At 40.0% G+C, this 18,331-nt stretch overlaps 1 long non-coding RNA gene and 1 pseudogene across 2 annotated transcripts in view; one reads left to right on the top strand and one right to left on the bottom strand.

Moving 5' to 3' along the window:
• Positions 1–18,331, bottom strand: part of LOC105372310 (uncharacterized) — a 148,126-nt gene that overhangs the window by 91,772 nt on the left and 38,023 nt on the right. For both annotated transcript variants that reach the window (XR_007067164.1, XR_001754065.2), the window contains exon 5: positions 1,666–13,009. This is a non-coding gene — a long non-coding RNA (uncharacterized LOC105372310). The remainder of the gene's footprint in view (positions 1–1,665; positions 13,010–18,331) is intronic.
• Positions 6,404–6,987, top strand: BNIP3P17 (BCL2 interacting protein 3 pseudogene 17; annotated as a pseudogene).

Here is an 18,331-nt window from a genome sequence, read left to right on the forward strand (position 1 = left end):
AAACAGGTTGCTGCTGCAGATTCGATATCCGGGGATGGGAATATGCAAGGAAACTTGTAGATACTTTTGGCTTTTTGGCTAGAAGTGCTTGGACCAAAAATGTCATGGTGAAGTCACTGAGGGTGGTGCCTAGTCCTGGGAGGAGTGTGGACATGTCAATGTCTAGTGTGTGTGTTTGGGAGTATGTGGGAATCCTGTGGTGGCAGCTGCAAGAAAAGGGGATGTGTCATCAGAGCTCCTTTCCTGTAAGTTTTCAGTCCTCTGTCACCCTGGGAGAAGACCTGGAATCACAGGACAATGGGCAGTGTGACAATCTGTGTACAGGAGAGCAGAATCTCCCATTCCCAAACACCCAGAGTTTTATTCCAGGCCAGGCCTCCATGATATCTTCTTTCTGGCACCAAATCTGTAGCATTTGCTGAACATCAAACAATTCTCCAACACCAACTTATTGTATAACATTTGATTTCTAACACTACCCAGAGTCAGCACAGACCCTGATTCAGGGCTCGGTCCCACAACATTGTTCTCACTGCAGATGCCAGTCATAAATCCCATGGGCCCATCTATGGTTCTGAGCTACTGTTTAAAAACTGGGGACTCCCATAACTTCCCTGAAGCTCAGTAATTTGGTAGAGCTACTCACAGAACTCAGCAAAACACTGTAGTTATGCTTACTGGTTTAATATATAAGATGCAGCCCAGGAAAAGCCAAGTGGAAGAAATGCATAGAACAAAGAAAAGAGATGAGGAAAGATGAAACACATAGATAATTATGAAAAATATTTGTGATTAATAAAATTCTCCTTCCTTTGTGTGCTTCAGGAACAGTTTATGGAAAGAAACACTCTTCCCGTTATGATTAAGATGATGCTCCCTTTTCTTGCCTATCACACAGCCAGACATACACTCTGCACATTTTCTCCTTTTTCTCATTAAAAAAAAAACAAAAAACCAGCTGAATTTGCCTTCAGCAGTCAAAATCAATTATGATTTTTTTTTTTTTTGAGATGGAGTGTCACTCTGTCACCCAGGCTGGAGTGTAGTGGGGCCATCTCGGCTCACTTCAGCTTTCACCTCCAGGGCTCAAGCAATTTTCCTACCTCAGCCTCCCAAGTATCTGGGATTACAGGCACCTGCCACAACGCCCAGCTAATTTTTGTATTTTTAGTAGACAGGGTTTCACCATGTTGGCCAGGCTGGTCTTGAACTCCTGACCTCTGGTGATCCGCCTGCCTCAGCCTCCCAAAGTGCTGGGATTGCAGACTTGAGCCACCACACCCAGCCTAAAATAAAATATTTCTTAATCAAATTTTACTTAAGTTTATCTTCTCTCAGGCTCCTGAAATTCAAGCTACCCTCAGTCTGAGTCAACATACAACCCCATTTTATGTCCCTCCTAAGAACATGCTGATTTCAGGGTAAGCCATTCTCTGATCTAAAATCTGACTTTTTCACCCTCCATTTGCTGTTCCTCTCCCACCTCCTTTCTAATCTTGTTTGCTCTTCCCTAGAAAAGAAAGCCCTTTTCTGCCTATATTTTTGCAAGCCATAAAGATATTATAGTTATTTGGTGCTTCCTTTTGTTGCAATACTTTTTTGGAATTGGTTTTTTACCTGCCTCTTGAGAATATGCCTTTAAGGGTGTCAGTACCACATGTTTACCTGCAAGCATGACATCAACTGGCAGAAAAGACAGAAAAAGTCCATCCATTTCTGTCCCTTAAAGCAGAAGGTATTTGGGAACAATGTGCTGCTCCATAAAGATAAAAATATGTTTCTTCTTCCCTGTCCTCAGGTGCCCTCCCCTGCCACAGACACCAGCAATTTCTGCTACAGAACCTGCAGAGAAAAAGAGAAGAAATTAAAATGCTGGGCCCTTTTTCTAAATCCTGGAAATTAGTATTAAATCCTTAGTACCAGCTCCCAGGGTGTTATGAGGATTAAATTATATAATGTATTATGCCCAGCAGAGTTCTCTGTATCACAATCTTGAGCACATAGTACCTGCTTCATACAGTAATACAAATATACACCACTCTGACCTGTCCATACCAAGCCAAAACAGAACAGGCCCTGTGGCTACCCTTTAGTCCAAAAGTGGAACTTAATTCTCATGAATATATTTTGAAGGCCTCATACCTGATTCTGGCCTCACCTTAGAGTCACATGAGGCCCTTCATTAAAACAACATGGATGTTTTCAACCAGAATAATAAACAGAAGCTGTGGTGAGGGTACAAGAGATTTCTGCATATTGGCCATGTGATCCTAATGAGAAGCCTGGGCTGATAACCACTAAGCTAAGCATTGCCTCTCAAGCTTTAATGAGCTTATAATTCACTTGGTAATTCTGGCCACACTTTAAGTAATGTGATTCTGCAGGTTTGAAAAGGGTCTGTGAATCAGTGTTTTAAACAAGTCCCCTGTCAATGCTGATGTTACTCCTCCTTGGCTCATTATTAACATTAGTTAGAAAAGCAGGCAAACCACAGGGTCCCTTACACTTAGCACTGTTGTCACAATCAGATAACTCTGGTACAAATAAGGACAACTCATCTCCATCCTAAAGTTTTATATTCTTTGCTGGCTCTTTAAAGTTTACAGAAGAAACAGAAGGTAATTACCAGGATTTAGAAAAAGAGCCAAGCATTTTAATTTCTTGTTTTTCTGTCATCAAAAATTTTTAAAAATTGTATAGAATAAAAGCTAAGTATAGACAGATGAATGAGACATAAAAAGGAAGAGGTTAGTTTAGAGAAAATTTTATTCTGTTTGTATTTACTTTTTTTTGACTTACGGAGCAACTACTGGATCTGCGGGAATAAGAAACAAGTTGCTAAATAGAATGTCTCTGCATCCAATGGTTTTCATAGAAAATTAAAAAACGGCTGGGTGCGGTGGCTCATGCTTGTAATCCCAGCACTTTGGGAGGCAGAGGCGGGCGGATCACGAGGTCAGGAGATCGAGACCATCCTGGCTAACGTGGTGAAACCCCATCTCTACTAAAAATACAAAAAATTAGCTGGGCGTGGTGGCGAGCGCCTGTAGTCCCAGCTACTCGGAGGTTGAGGCAGGAGAATGGCATGAACCCGGGAGGCAGAGCTTGCAGTGAGCCGAGATCGCGCCACTGCACTCCAGCCTGGGCAACGGAGTGAGACTCCGTCTCAAAAAAAAAAAAAAAAAAAAAGAAAATTTAAAAATGAAGACCCTCAAATACATACTTTATTTTTTTGTATTTATCTGCTTTTGGATTTCAGGAAATTGTGAGCAGCAGCTCTAGAAATACTGCAGGATTCACCAGCCAAAACTGATCTCTGCCAATCAGTTCTGTGAGGCAAGACTCCAGGGTAGGTCTGGACCTACATAAAGCCTCCAAAAAAGGTGAATCTGAACAGGTCTGGGGCAGAGTGAGGATCCTTTGTAGAATTCTGTTCTCTATGCCACTGGGATACTTCCAGTTTTGTTTTTCTAAGCCTACCTAAAAGAAACTTAAATCCCAGAGTTTCTGTAATTTTAATATTTTCTAGCCACGGCCCTGTCAACTTTATACTATATACTAATATGCAATTTAAAGAAATCCCTTCAGGTTTCCTAGGGTAATTTTATTGGAAAATAAATATGTACAGTTAGCAAGGTAAAAGAAATAGAAACTATACGGCTGGGTGCAGTGGCTAAGTCCCACAATTCCAGCACTTTGAAAGGCTGAGGTGGGTGGATCATGAGGGCAGGAGTTCAAGACCAGCCTGACCAAGATGGTGAAACCTTGCCTCTACTAAAAATACAAAAATTAGCTGGGCATCGTGGCTGTGGCCAGTAATCTCAGCTACTTGGGAGGCTGAGGCAGGAGAATGGCTTGAACCCGAGTGGCAGAAATTACAGTAAGCCAAGATCGTGCCACTGCACTCCAGCCTGGGGAACTGAGATTCTGTCTAAAAAAAAAACAACAAAACTATAATAATTGTTCGGTTCATAAATATATTCAGGTGTAGATATCAGAAGTCACAACAGCATAAAGTGGCATAAATAAAGCCCAAGACTTTGGACACATCTATATATTCCACCAACCATATGATGCATAATTCAATTATTCATGAAGTTGCTAGTCTAGACTAAAAGTTTCTGGATTGTAGGAACAATGACTGCTTCATGTATTTTTTTAATGGCCATATAAAATGGAAGTAATGAGTTTATCTATTTGGGTCTCCAGGTCTCCTTATTTATCATCCAAGTACCAGAAAACTGGATAAACTCTCATCTGAGTACCAACCAAAGATACCTCTTGTATGAGAGGATGAACAAAAACACAGGATGACTGATTTCTCTTACACCGAGACAGAAGCAGAATTAATCACTCTTGTCAACCTGACACAACTCTGCTCTGGATATTCCCAAATGCCTCAAAGACACCTAGGTGATTGTGAGAGAATTCCCAGTGACCATGGGCTGATGTCTCAATAAGCCAGGCTGGAGAGACTCAATGATAAGCCAGGCTGGAGAGACTCAATGATAAGCCAGGCTGGAGAGACTCAGGCTGACTCTAAGTAGAAAATGGAACTGCCTTGGTGGAGCTCAAGAACCTGGATCACCCATTCTGATTTGCTAGCATTTGGGTAAGAGAAAGAATGAAAATATTCTACTCCAGTATCACATTTTACAGGTAAATATAGTTGTGCACATGGCTCTGGCTATTTTGTGGACTTGATGTCTCACTCCTAAGATGTTTATTTACACTTACAGATTCTACCATCAGATTCTATTTCCTCCTGGACACTCTTACAGTCTGACCCTTTTTTGTAAACCCCAGGCAGAAGCCATACCTTATCTGCAGATTCTAGGTAGGACCCACCTGGTTCTGCATCCTTTGGTGTTACAGCAAGTGGAGTACAATCAGAGAAGAGATCCCCTAATAGAGGCTGCTCTAGCACTTTCTAAGTATTAAGCCTACATGAAAAAAAAAAAAAAGCTGACACAACATGAATGTAAGTAGACAGTTTATTTGGGTGAAGTTTAAGGATTATAACCTGGGAGCAAAGACTGAAGTTGCCTAGAATCTACACTTTCATTAACAGCAGTTGCAAGAGGAGTTGTGAAGACAAAAACAAAGGGACAGAGAGTGGGCTGATAGAGTTGTCAGAAATTTTTATTTAAAGAAGTAACATTGGTTATTGATTGGACATATATCATTATGGTTTAGGGTATGAGATACAGTGTCCAATGTGGTATTATCAGTTTAATATACATCTACTTGTGGCAATAGTGAACAGTTTCAAGAGATGAATACATATTTCAAAGGAGGAGAAAGGCGTAACTGCACTTTCATTTCAATGTCTGAGTTTGATAACCAAAAGGACTTGCATTTTTAGATAAAAATTTTCTATTTCCCAAATCTCAAGACCTAGATACAAAATGTAGAGCTGCAGATTTAGGGCCCGAATGGCTGGAGTAGCAGCAGGTGTTACCTGCACATTTGTGAACATTTTACCAAGAGAAAAAAGGGGAAAGTGAAGATTCTCATGTCTGAATGTGTACTCAATGAAAACGTTACTCTGATTAGGTTTGTGGGCCCCATGGTCTCTGAATCAGTTTAAGGTCTGAAGATACAAGAGTCATTGAGATAAAACTATTGATTGTTGCCCTGTGAAGTTGGTAGAAATTTGGTTTAGTCTCTCTAGAAGTGACTGTAGAGGACTATAGATACCAAATAGGCAGAAACACAGTTCTGCTTGCATATTTAGGGGACAGCATGCACTTTGTTGCACAAGTGTGAGTTGACTGGAAGTCTGAGAGGGAAAGTCCCCTCTAGAGTAAATTCCAGTTGGCACCTTATGTGTTTATATCATGTCTGGTAATTATAGACAGTGTTTGGAAATAACAAAAGAATGTTCTCCAGCCCCAGAAAAACTCCACAATAGAACAGAAAGAAAACTGTTTTATGTGACATGCATCATAGTCAATCTGCTTAAGAGACTGCAGAGACAGAAAGATGGTCACCAAAATTAGTCCACAAGTAGAATTTCCAGAACCATGTCATACATAGTTCATCCTAAATTCACATGGAGATTGAAGAGGCCATCTGTATATGCTAATTGTTTATATTCAATAACAAAAAAACTTTTCACACCTTCATAACAGGAGGTAGTTTAGCAGCTTGAAGCCAGGTACTTGCTGAAGGTAGGTTTTCACTCTGCTACAAAAATGGTTGAAAAGCATTCTATCCTTTTGGCTATTTACATTTTACAGCAGTGGCTCTGTGTTCCATGGCATTGGGCTACAGCACTTTCTTGCTTTTTCCTGGTTGCTAGTGTCCTCTTGACCTCTCTCATCTGCCACTGAGGGACAGCCTTGAGCACAGCTCAGTTTATGTGAACCACATTTCCCACAGCAGCACTCTAGTGTCACATCAGAGAGGAAAGCCTGAGCTGCAGGAGAGCCTGCAGGCCTTGTGAGTAGAATTGCACTTTCACAATAATGGGAATGTGACCAGTGTTTCAGCCCGTTTTTAATTATCATGGTGACATGGAAAAAAAATCGGATGAATTTCCAGCATGAGTCCAGATAGAGATATCTACAAAAGTTCTCACTGTGACAGCCTACCTCATTCAGACACCATGGGATACTAATAGGGCTTCTGAAACAGACACCCAAAGTATTGGAGAGAAAAACAGATCTCCATCTGAGCAAGATAATTTTGAGAGAAAAAAGTTAAAAAGATCTTGAGAAAAAAGATCTTGAGAAAAAGCTCAGTTTAGATATAAGATTGATCAAGTCAGCCAGAAAATAGTCCCCTAAAAGCAATTTCTCTCTAACCACCCAAAGTGCACAATTACTCTCAGCATGAGAAACATGAGCATTATGAAGAAAGGGGGCAGAATTTCAGAAGAATTTTATAAAGCTTTTTTTCCCATCTCTGCTGCTCTCTCATCTCCTAGTCATTGAATGGGGGTTCTATATTGAAATATATCTGACAACTTCCAACAACACTTTTTGATGCAGAAATAGAATCTGACTGTGTTCACATTGTGGAGTATATTAGAACTTCCAACATAGTTAACTGAAGAGCTATCATGGTTTTTGGGTGGCCACATCAACTGTCTTTATTTCATTTGTAATAGCAGCATTCCAATTGAGTGAAATAAAAGATACTAAAATTGTGTTTACTTATAATTATCCCTATTGAATAAAGTAATAAACATGTCAGACTAGTATTGACTGTAACAATTTGGTAGTAAATTTTTTGGGGTATTAGATTAAATATCTAAGTATAAATAATTTTAATAAACTAGTAGTAATGTATATGGCAGTTAAAAAGTTTAACTATACTTCAGTTAAAATAGTTTATATTTCAAAAGTGTAAATAACAATATTAAAATAACCATTTAAGTGATTCATTCAAAGTAAGTATTGTGGCTTTATATTCATACTATTGTAAAAAATACTGTTTATGGCTCATGCCTATAATCCCAGCACTTTGGGAGACTGAGGTGTGTGGATCACCTGAGGTCAAGAGTTCACAATCAAGCTGGCCAACACGGTGATACCCCATCTCTACTAAAAATACAAAAACTTAGCCAGGCATGGTGGGGTGTGCCTGTAATCCCAGCTACTCAGGAGGCTGAGGCAGGAGAAATCACTTGAGCCTGGGTCCCAGTGGTTGCAGTGAGCAGAACACGCCCCTACACTCCAGCCTGGGCAAGAGTGAGACTCTGTCTCAAAGAAAAATTAAAAAAAAAGAAAAAGAAAACTGTTTAATGTATATGAATGTATTGTTATGTGTAGTGTCTGCAAACACTACACATAACTATGCTAATTGTTCTGAAGTCATCAATAGAAAGCCAAGTACAACTACAGACTCTACTGTTCAGTTTATGCACTGAACTCTTTTTGTTTTTGCTGTGTAAGTACTTCAGCCTGCAAATGTTGGATAATTACCTTGGATAATAAAGTTACTTTCAAAGAAACTTAGTATCTTTTAGCGTTTCTCATTCCATATTGCTAAATTTAATCCTATGTTTCTGCTAAGCTTCTGTGTGCTCTTAAAATGAGCTTTTATCTAAACACATTTGTGTTTACTTTAAAGGACTAAAAATGGGCCAGGCATGGTGGTTCATGCCTGTAATCCCAGCACTTTGGGAGGCTGAGGCGGGCAGATCACTTGAGTTTGGGAATTTGAGACCAGCCTGAGGAATATGGAGAAACCCCGTTTCTACTAAAAAAACAAAATTAGTTGGGTATGGTGGCACGTGACTGTAATCCCAACTACTCGGGAGGCTGAGGCCAGAGAATCCCTTGAACCTGGGAGGTGGAGGTTTTGGTGAGTCAAGATCATGCCATTGCACTCCAGCCTGGGCAACAAAACTGAAACTCCATCCAAAAAAAAAAAAAGTCCTAAAAAGGAGAGAAACAAACTTTTTAAAATTAGAAATAAACCAATAAATCAGATGTACTAGAAAAGATAATCTAAAGTAAAAAAAAAAAAAAAAAAAAAGACAAAGTTTATTTAACTGTTAATATGGTTTACAGATATTTCAAGAAAGCAGAGAAAAATATCTACACATAATCTAAATCCCTTAAGGAAAAAGAGAATAAGAAAAATTTTTTTGGAACTTTTTAAAAAGTCTTTGAACTCTTGGTAATCTAAGTTTTGCAAACAGGATGCACTTGAAAGAATGTTAGCCTAGGTGTGGTGGCTAACACCTGTAATCCCAGCACTTTGGGAGGTTGAGGCAAGCAGATCACCTGAGGTTGGGAGTTGGAGACCAGCCTGACCAGCAAGGAGAAACCCTGTCTCTACTAAAAATACAAAATTGGCTGGGCATGATAGCATATGCCTGTAATCTCAACTACATGGGAGGCTGAGGCAGGAGAATTGCTTCAACTCAGGAGGTGGAGGTTGTGGTGAGCCAAGATCATGCCATTGCACTTCAGCCTGGCAATAGCGAAACTCCCTCTCCAAAAAAAAAAAAAAAAAATGTTTATGGGGGGAAAAGCAGAAGAGAGAAAGATGTTATAAAAAATTCATGTGCACAAGACCAATGCAACAGAACAGAGAGCCCAGAAATAATGCCACCCTCTTGCAACCATCAGATTTTTGACAAAGCTGACAAAAGAAATGTGGGGAAAATTCTCTATTTAATAAATGGTGCCGGAATAACTAACTAGTAATATGTAGAACACTTAAACTGAACCCCTTAATTACACCACATACAAAAATCAACTCAAGAAAAATTAAAGACTTAAATGTAAAACATAAAATTATAAGAAACCCTGCAAGATAACATAAAAGCTACCATTCTAGACATAGAAACCTGCAAACACTTCATGATGAAGCTACCAAAAGCAATTGCAACAAAAGCAAAAGCTGACAAATGGGACCTATTTAAACTAAAGAGATTCTTCACAGCAAAGGAAACTATCAACAGAGTAAGCAGACAACCTACAGAATAAAAGAAAATATTTGCAAACTTTGCCTCTGACAAAGGTCTAATATCCAGAATTAATGAGAACTTAAACAAGTTTACAAGAAAAAACCAAACCTCATTAAAAAGTGGGCAAAAAACATGAACAGATGCTTTTCAAAGGAAGACATACATGTGGCTAACAAGCATATGAAAAACAAAGCTCAATGGTAATCATTAAAGAAATTAAAAAGAAGCCAGGCACGGTGTCTCACACCTGTAATCCCAGCACATTGGGAGGCTTAAGCAGGCAGATCACAAGGTGAGGAGTTCAAGACCAGCCTGTCCAATATGGTGAAACCTTGTCTCTAATAAAAAAACAAAAATTAGCCTGGCATGGTGGTGGGCACCTGTAGTCCCAGCTAGTCAGGAGGCTGATAGAGGAGAATCACTTAAACCTGGGAGGTGGAGGTTGCAATGAGCTGAGATCGTGCCACTGCTCTCCAGCCTGGGTGACAGAGCCAGGCTCCATCTCAAAAAAATAAACAAATAAATTAAAAGAAAAACCACAATGAGATACCACTTCACATCAGTCAGAATGGCTATTTTAAAAAAGTCAAAAAATAACAGATGCTACCAAGGTTGCAGAGAAAAGAGAATGCTTATACTCTGCTGGTGGGAGTGTAAATTAGTTTAACTGTAAAAAGCAGTGTGGCAATTCCTCACAGAACTGAAAACAGAATTATCATTTGACTCAGGAACCTGATAATTGGGTATATACCAAAAGAAATATAAATTATTATAAAGACGCATCCATATGCATGCTATGCATGTTCATTGCAGCACTATTCACAGTAGCAAAGACATGGACAGGACCTAAATGCCCATCAATAAAGAAAATATGGTATGGTCAGAAGCGGTGGCTCATGCCTTCAATCCTAGAGCTTTGGAAGGCCAAGGCAGGTGGACTGCCTGAGCTTAGAAGTTTGAAACCAGCCTGAAAAAAATAGCAAAATCTTGTCTACATGGAAAATACAAAAAGAAAAAGTGGCCAGCCATAGTAACGCACACGTGTAGTCCCAGCTACTTGAGAAGATGAGGTAAGGGAGAATTGCTTGAGCCTGGGAGGCTGAGACTAAAGTAAGCCAAAATCACACCATGGTAATCTAGCCTGGGCAATAAGTGAGACCCTGCATCCAAAGATAAAATAAAATAAAAGATGTAGTAAAAAACAAAATATGGCACATAATCATGGAATACTCCATGGCCATTAAAAAAAATCATGTCCTCTGCAATAACATCAATGAAACCCATTAAAAAAAATCAGCTCTGATCTTAGTTTTTTCTTGCCTTCTGCTAGCTTTTGAATGTGTTTGCTCTTGCGTCTCTAGTTCTTTTAATTGTGATGTTAGGGTGTCAATTTTAGATCTTTCCTGCTTTCTCTTGTGGACATTTAGTGCTATATATTTCCCTCTACATACTGCTTTAAATGTGTCCCAGAGATTCTGGTTATGTTCTGTCTTTGTTCTCATTGGTTTCAAAGAACATCTTTATTTCTGCCTTCATTTCATTATGTACCCAGTAGTCATTCAGGAGCAGGTTGTTCAGTTTCCATGTAGTTGAGCAGTTTTGAGTGAGTTTCTTAATCCTGAGTTCTAGTTTGATTGCACTGTGGTCTGAGAGATAGTTTGTTATACTTTCTGTTCTTTTACACTTGCTGAGGAGTGCTTTACTTCCAATTATGTGGTCAATTTTGGAGTAAGTGCAATGTGGTGCTGAGAATGTATATTCTGTTGATTTTGGGTGGAGAGTTCTGTAGATGTCTATTAGGTCTGGCTGGTGCAGAGCTGAGTTCAATTCCTGGATATCCTTGTTAACTTTCTGTCTCATTGATCTGTCTAATGTTGACAGTGGGGTGTTAAAGTCTCCCATTATCATTGTGTGCGAGTCTTAGTCTCTTTGTAGGTCTCTAAGGGCTTTCTTTATTAATCTGGGTGCTCCTGTATTGGGTGCATATATATTTAGTATAGTTAGCTCTTCTTGTTGAATTGATGCCTTTACCATTATGTCATGGCCTTCTTTGTCTTTTATGATCTTTGTTGGTTTAAAGTCTTGTTTTTCTCAGAGACTAGGATTGCAACCCCTGCTTTTTTTTTTTGTTTTCCATTTGCTTCAGAGACCTTCCTCCGTCCCTTTATTTTCAGCCTATGTGTGTCTCTGCACATGAGATGGATCTCCTGAATACAGCACACTGGTGGGTCTTGACTCTTTTTTTTTTTTTGAGATGGGTCTCTGTTGCCCAGGCTGGAGTACAGAGGCATGATCTTGGCTCACTGCAAGCTCTGCCTCCCAGGTTCATGCCATTCTCCTGCCTCAGCCTCCCAAGTGCCTGGGACTACAGGTGCCTGCCACCATGCCTGGCTAATTTTTTGTATTTTTACTAGAGATGGGGTTTCACTGTGTTAGCCAGGATAGTCTCGATCTCCTGACCTCGTGATCTGCCCACTTCAGCCTCACAAAGTGGTGGGATTACAGGTGTGAGCCACTGCACCTGCCAGGGTCTGGGCCCTTTATCCAATTTGCCAGTCTGTGTCTTTTAATTGGAGCATTTAGCCCATTTACATTTAAGGTTAATATTGTTATGTGTGAATTTGGTCCTGTCATTATGTTAGCTAGTTATTTTACTTGTTAGTTGATGCAGTTTCTTCCTAACATTGATGGTGTTTACGATTTGGCATGTTTTTGCAGTGACTGGTACCAGTTGTTCCTCTCCATGTTTAGTGCTTCCTTCAGGAGCTCTTGTAAGGCAGGCCTGGTGGTGACAAAATCTCTCAGGATTTGTTTGTCCGTAAAGGATTTTATTTCTCCTTCACTGATGAAGCTTAGGTTGGCTGGATATGAAATTCTGGGTTGAAAATTCTTTTCTTTAAGAATGTTGAATATTGGCCCCCACTCTCTTCTAGCTTGTAGAGTTTCTGCCGAGAGATCCACTGTTAGTCTGATGGGCTTCCCTTTGTGGGTAACCCGACCTTTCTCTCTGGCTGCCCTTAACATTTTTTCCTTCATTTCAACTTTGGTGAATCTGACAATTATGTGTCTTGGAGTTGCTCTTCTCGAAGAGTATCTTTGTGGCGTTCTCTGTATTTCCTGAATTTGAATGTCGGCCTGCCTTGCTAGGTTGGGGAAGTTCTCCTGGATAATATCCTGCAGAGTGTTTTCCAACTTGGTTCTATTCTCCCCATCACTTTCAGGTACACCAATCAGACGTAGATTTGGTCTTTTCACATAGTCCCATATTTCTTGGAGGCTTTGTTCATTTCTTTTTATTATTTTATCTCTAAACTTCTCTTCTTGCTTCATTTCATTCATTTTAACAATCACTGATACTTTTTCTTCCTGTTGATCACATTGGATACTCAAGCTTCTGCATTCATCACGTAGTTTTTGGGCCATGGTTTTCAGCTCTATCAGGTCATTTAAGGTCTTCTCTACACTGTCTATTATAGTTAGCCATTCATCTAATCTTTTTTCAAGGTTTCCAGCTTCTTTATGATGGATTCGAACATCCTCCTTTAGCTTGGAGAAGTTTGTTTTTACTGATTGTCTGAAGAACTGAAGGAGAGAGAGAGACACAAAAGAACCTTCAAAAAAAATCAATGAATCCAGGAGCTGGTTTCTTGAAAAGATCAACAAAAGTAATAGACTGCTAGCCAAAGTAATAAGAAAAGAGAGAAGAATCAAATAGACGCAATAAAAAATGATAAAGGGGATATCACCACTGATCCCACAGAAATACAAACTACCATCAGAGAATGAATACTATAAACATCTCTACACAAATAAACTAGAAAATCTAGAAGAAATGGATAAATTCCTGGACACATACCCCCTCCCAAGACTAAACAAGGAAGAAGTTGAATCCCTGAATAGACCAATAACAGGCTCTGAAACTGAGGATATAATTAATAGCCCACCAACCAAAAAAAGTCCAGGACCAGACAGATTCACAGCTGAATTCTACCAGAGGTACAAAGAGGAGCTGGTACCATTCCTTCTGAAACTATTTCAATCAATAGAGAAAGAAGGAATCCTCCCAAACTCATTTTATGAGGCCAGCATCATCCTGATTCCAAAGCCTGGCAGAGACACAACAAAAAAAGAGAATTTTAGACCAATATCCCTCATGAACATTGATGCAAAAATCCTCAATAAAATATTGGCAAACTGAATCCAGCAGCGCATCAAAAAGCTTATCCACCATGATCAAGTTGGCTTTATCCCTGGGATGCAAGGCTGGTTCAACATACGCAAATCAATAAACGTAATCCATCATGTAAACAGAACCAAAGACAAAAACCACATGATTATCAATAGATGCAGAAAAGGCCTTTGACAAAATTCAACAGCACTTCATGCTAAAAACTCTCAAACTAGGTATTGATGGGACGTATCTCAAAATAATAAGAGCTACAAACCACTGCTCAATGAAATAAAAGAGGACACAAACAAATGGAAGAACATTCCATGCTTATGGATAGGAAGAATCAATATCATGAAAATGGCCATACTCCTCAAGGTAATTTATAGATTCAATGCCATCCCCATCAAGCTACCAATGACTTTCTTCACAGAATTGGAAAAAACTACTTTAAAGTTCATATGGAACCAAAACAGAGCCCATATTGCCAAGACAATCCTAAGCCAAAAGAACAAAGCTGGAGGCATCACCATATTTGACTTCAAACTATACTACAAGGCTACAGTAATCAAAACAGCCTGGTGTTGGTACCAAAAGAGATATAGACCAATGGAACAGAACAGAGCCCTCAGAAATAATACCACACATCTACAACTATCTGATCTTTGACAAACCTGACAAAAACAAGAAATGGGGAAAGGATTCCCGATTTAATAAATGGTGCTGGGAAAACTAGATAGCCATATGTAGAAAGCTGGAACTGGATCCCTTCCTTACACCTTATACAAAAATTAATTCAAGATGGATTAAAGACTTAAATGTTAGACCTAAAACCATAAAAACCCTAGAAGAAAATCTAGGCAATACCATTCAGGACATAGGCATGGACAAGGACTTCATGACTAAAACACCAAAAGCAATGGCAACAAAAGCCAAAATTGACAAATGGGATCTAATTAAACTCAAGAGCTTCTGCACAGCAAAAGAAACTACCATCAGAGTGAACAGGTAACCTACAGAATGGGAGAAAATTTTTACAATCTACCCATCTGACAAAGGGCTAATATCCAGAATCTACAGAGAACTTAAACAGATTTACAAGAAAAAATCAAACAACCCTAACAAAAAGTCGGCAAAGGATATGAACAGACACTTCTCAAAAGAAGACATTTATGCAGCCAACAGACACAAGAAAAAATGCTCATCATCACTAGCCATCAGAGAAATGCAAATCAAAACCACAATGAGATACCATCTCACACCAGTTAGAATGGCTATCATTAAAAAGTCAGGAAACAACAGGTGCTGGAGAGGATGTGGAGAACTAGGAACACTTTTACACTGTTTGTGGGACTGTAAACTAGTTCAAACATTGTGGAAGACAGTGTGGTGATTCCCCAAGGATCTAGAACTAGAAATACCATTTGACCCAGCCATTCCATTACTGAGTATATACCCAAAGGATTATAAATCATGCTGCTATAAAGACACATGCACACGTATGTTTATTGTGGCACTATTCACAATAGCAAAGACTTGGAACCAACCCAAGTGTCCATCAATGATAGACAGGATTAAGAAAATGTGGCACATATACACTATGCAGCCATAAAAAAGGATGAGTTCGTGTCCTTTGTAGGGACATGAATGAAGCTAGAAACCATCATTCTGAGCAAACTATCACAAGGACAGAAAACCACATGTTCTCACTCATAGGTGGGAATTGAACAATGAGAACACTTGGACACAGGGTGGGGAACATCACACACCCCGGCCTGTCATGGGTGTGTGATGGAGCAGAGAGGGATAGAATTAGGATATACCTCATATGAATAATGAGTTAATGGGTGCAGCACACCAACATGGCACATGTATACATATGTAACAAACCAGCATGTTGTGCACATGCACCTAGAACTTAAAGTATAATAATAATAATAAAAAATTAATAAGTAAAAAAAAAATGAGGTCTTTGCAATAACATCAAGGCACGGTGGCTCACGCCTGTAATCCCAGCACTTTGGAAGAATGAGATGGGTGGATCACCTAAGGTTGGGAGTTTCAGACCATCCTGACCAACATGGAGAAACCAAATCTCTACTAAAAATACAAAATTAGCCAGGCGTTGTGGTGCGTACCTGTAATCCCAGCTACTCGGAAGGCTGAGGCAGGAGAATCCCTTGAACCTAAGAGGTGGAAGTTGTGGTTAGCGGAGATCACGCTGTTGCACTCAAGCCTGGGCAACAAGAGTGAAACTCTGTCTCAAAAAACAAAAACAAAAACAAAAAACAAACCAAACCAAAAAGAAAACTAATGAAGAAAAAGAAAACCAAATGCTTGTTATTATTTATAAGAGGTAAATAATAATAACACATGAACACAAACAACAGACACTGAGGACTAGTTTAGGGTGGACCCTGCAAGGACTCAGAGGATCAGAAAACATACCTGTTTGGTGCTATGGGTAGTACCTCAGGGACAAAATAATCTGCACACCAAACCCCCGTGACACAATTTTAGCTGTATAACAAACCCACATGTGTACCCCGAAACAAAAATTAAAGCTAAAAGAAAAAAAAAAATCCCAGGGTGGGAGAGTGCAATGTAGGTGAAAGGACTGATTTTTGCTACAGATAGTGGTCCCAGTGGGGCTGTACTGATTTATTTCTGTGTGCATGCATGCAGATGAGATTATGAACAGGTGGTCCAGAACCCTAGTTTGGTAGAGAAAACAGGTTGCTGCAGCAGATTTACAGTCTGAGGGGATGTACCAGGAGACTTGTTTTTTGGCAAAAAACACTTGGATCAAAAACGCCATGGTGAAGTTCCTGAGGGGGGTGCCTAGTCCTGGGAGGAGTGTGGACACATCAATATCTAGTGTGTGTGTTTGTGAGTGGGTGGGAATCCTGTGGTAGCAGCTGTGTGAAAAGGGGGTCTGTCATCAGAGCTCCTTTCCTCTAAGTTTTCAGGCCTCTGTCACCCTTGGAGAAGACCTGGAATCACAGGACAATGGGCAGTGTGACTGCCTGTGTACAGGAGAGCAGTCTCTCATTCCCAAACACCCAGAGTTTTATTCCAGGCAAGGACTCTGTCATATCTTATTTCTGGCACTAAATCTGTAGTTTGCTGAACATCAAAAAATTCTCCAACAATTTATTGTCTAACATTTGAATTCTGACACTACCCACAGTCAGAACAGACTCTGATTCAGGGCTCGGGTCCCAACATTGTCCTCACTGCAGATGCCAATCACAAACCCCATGGGCCCATGTATGCTTCTGAGCTAATGTTTAATATTTGGGGCTGCCATGACCTCCCTGAAGTTGAATAATTTTGTATAGCCACTCACAGTACTCAGCGAAACACTGTAGTTATGTTTACCAGTTTCATATATAAGATGCAGCCCAGGAAAAGCCAAATGGAAGAAATGCATAGAACAAAGAAAAGTGATGGGGAACGATGAAATGCATAGATAATGCTGGAAAATATTTGTGATTAATACAATTCTCCATCCTATATGTGCTCCAAGAACAGTTTATGGAAAGAAACACTCTTCCCATTACAACTTAGACGGTGCTCCCTTTTCTTACCTGTCACAGAGCCAGACACACACTCTGCACATTTTCTCCTTTTTCTCATTAAAAAAATCAGCTGAATTTGTCTTCAGTGGTAAAAATAAAATATTTCTGTCTTTTTCTTGAGCTGGAATCTCGCTCTGTCACCCACGCAGAAGTGCAGTGGTGTGATCTTGGCTCACTGCAACATCTGCATCCCGGGTTCAAGAAATTCTCCTGCCTCAGCCTCCCGAGTAGCTGGGATTATAGGCACCCACCACCATGCCCGGCTAATTTTTGTATTTTAAGTAGAAACAGGGTTTCACCATGTTGCCTAGGCTGGTCTCAAACTTGTGACCTCTGGTGATCTGCATGCCTTGGCCTCCTGAAATGCTGGGATTCCAGGTGAGCCACCATGCCAGGCTTAAAATAAAATATCTCCTTTTTTTTTTGAGTTGGAGTATTGCTCTGTTGCCTAGGCTGGAGTGCAATGGCATGATCTCAGCTCAATGCAAACTCTGCATCCCAGGTTCAAGCTATTCTCCTGCCTTAGCCTCCTGAGTAGCAGGCATTACAGGCACGTGCCCCCGCAGGTGGCTAATTTTTGTATTTTTAGCAGAGACAAGGTTTCACCATCTCAGGCTGGTCTCGCACTCCTGACCTTGTGATCTGGAATTACAGACATAAGCCACCACACCCAGCCTAAAAGTAAATACTTCTTAAACTTTACTTAAGCTTATCTCCCTCCCTCAGGCTCCTGAACTTTGAGCTACCCTCAGTCTGAGTCAACATACAACCCCATTTTATGTCCCTCCTAAGAATATGCTGATTTCAGGGTAAGACATTCTCTTTTCTATAATCTGACTTTTTCACCCTCCATTTGCCATTCCTCTCCCACCTCCTTTCTAATCTTGTTTGCTCCTCCCTAGAAAAGAAAGCTCTTTTCTGCCTACATCTATGCAAGCCGTAAAGATCTTATAGTTAGTTGGTACTTCCTCCTGTTGCAATACATTTTTGAAATTCATTTTTTTTACATAAATCTAACATTTGTATTACACAAAGTGTAGAAGGTGCCTCAAAACAATAACAACTTCATCATCATTAGTAAGACCGTCCCCCAGTTTCCTTTCATTTTAACCTTAACTGCATCTGCCTGTGGGGCCCCAGCTTTCCAGGGCTCTG

The sequence above is a fragment of the Homo sapiens genome, chromosome 19 (genome assembly GCF_000001405.40).
Source record: "Homo sapiens chromosome 19, GRCh38.p14 Primary Assembly".
In the NCBI taxonomy this organism is placed as follows: Eukaryota; Metazoa; Chordata; class Mammalia; order Primates; family Hominidae; genus Homo; species Homo sapiens.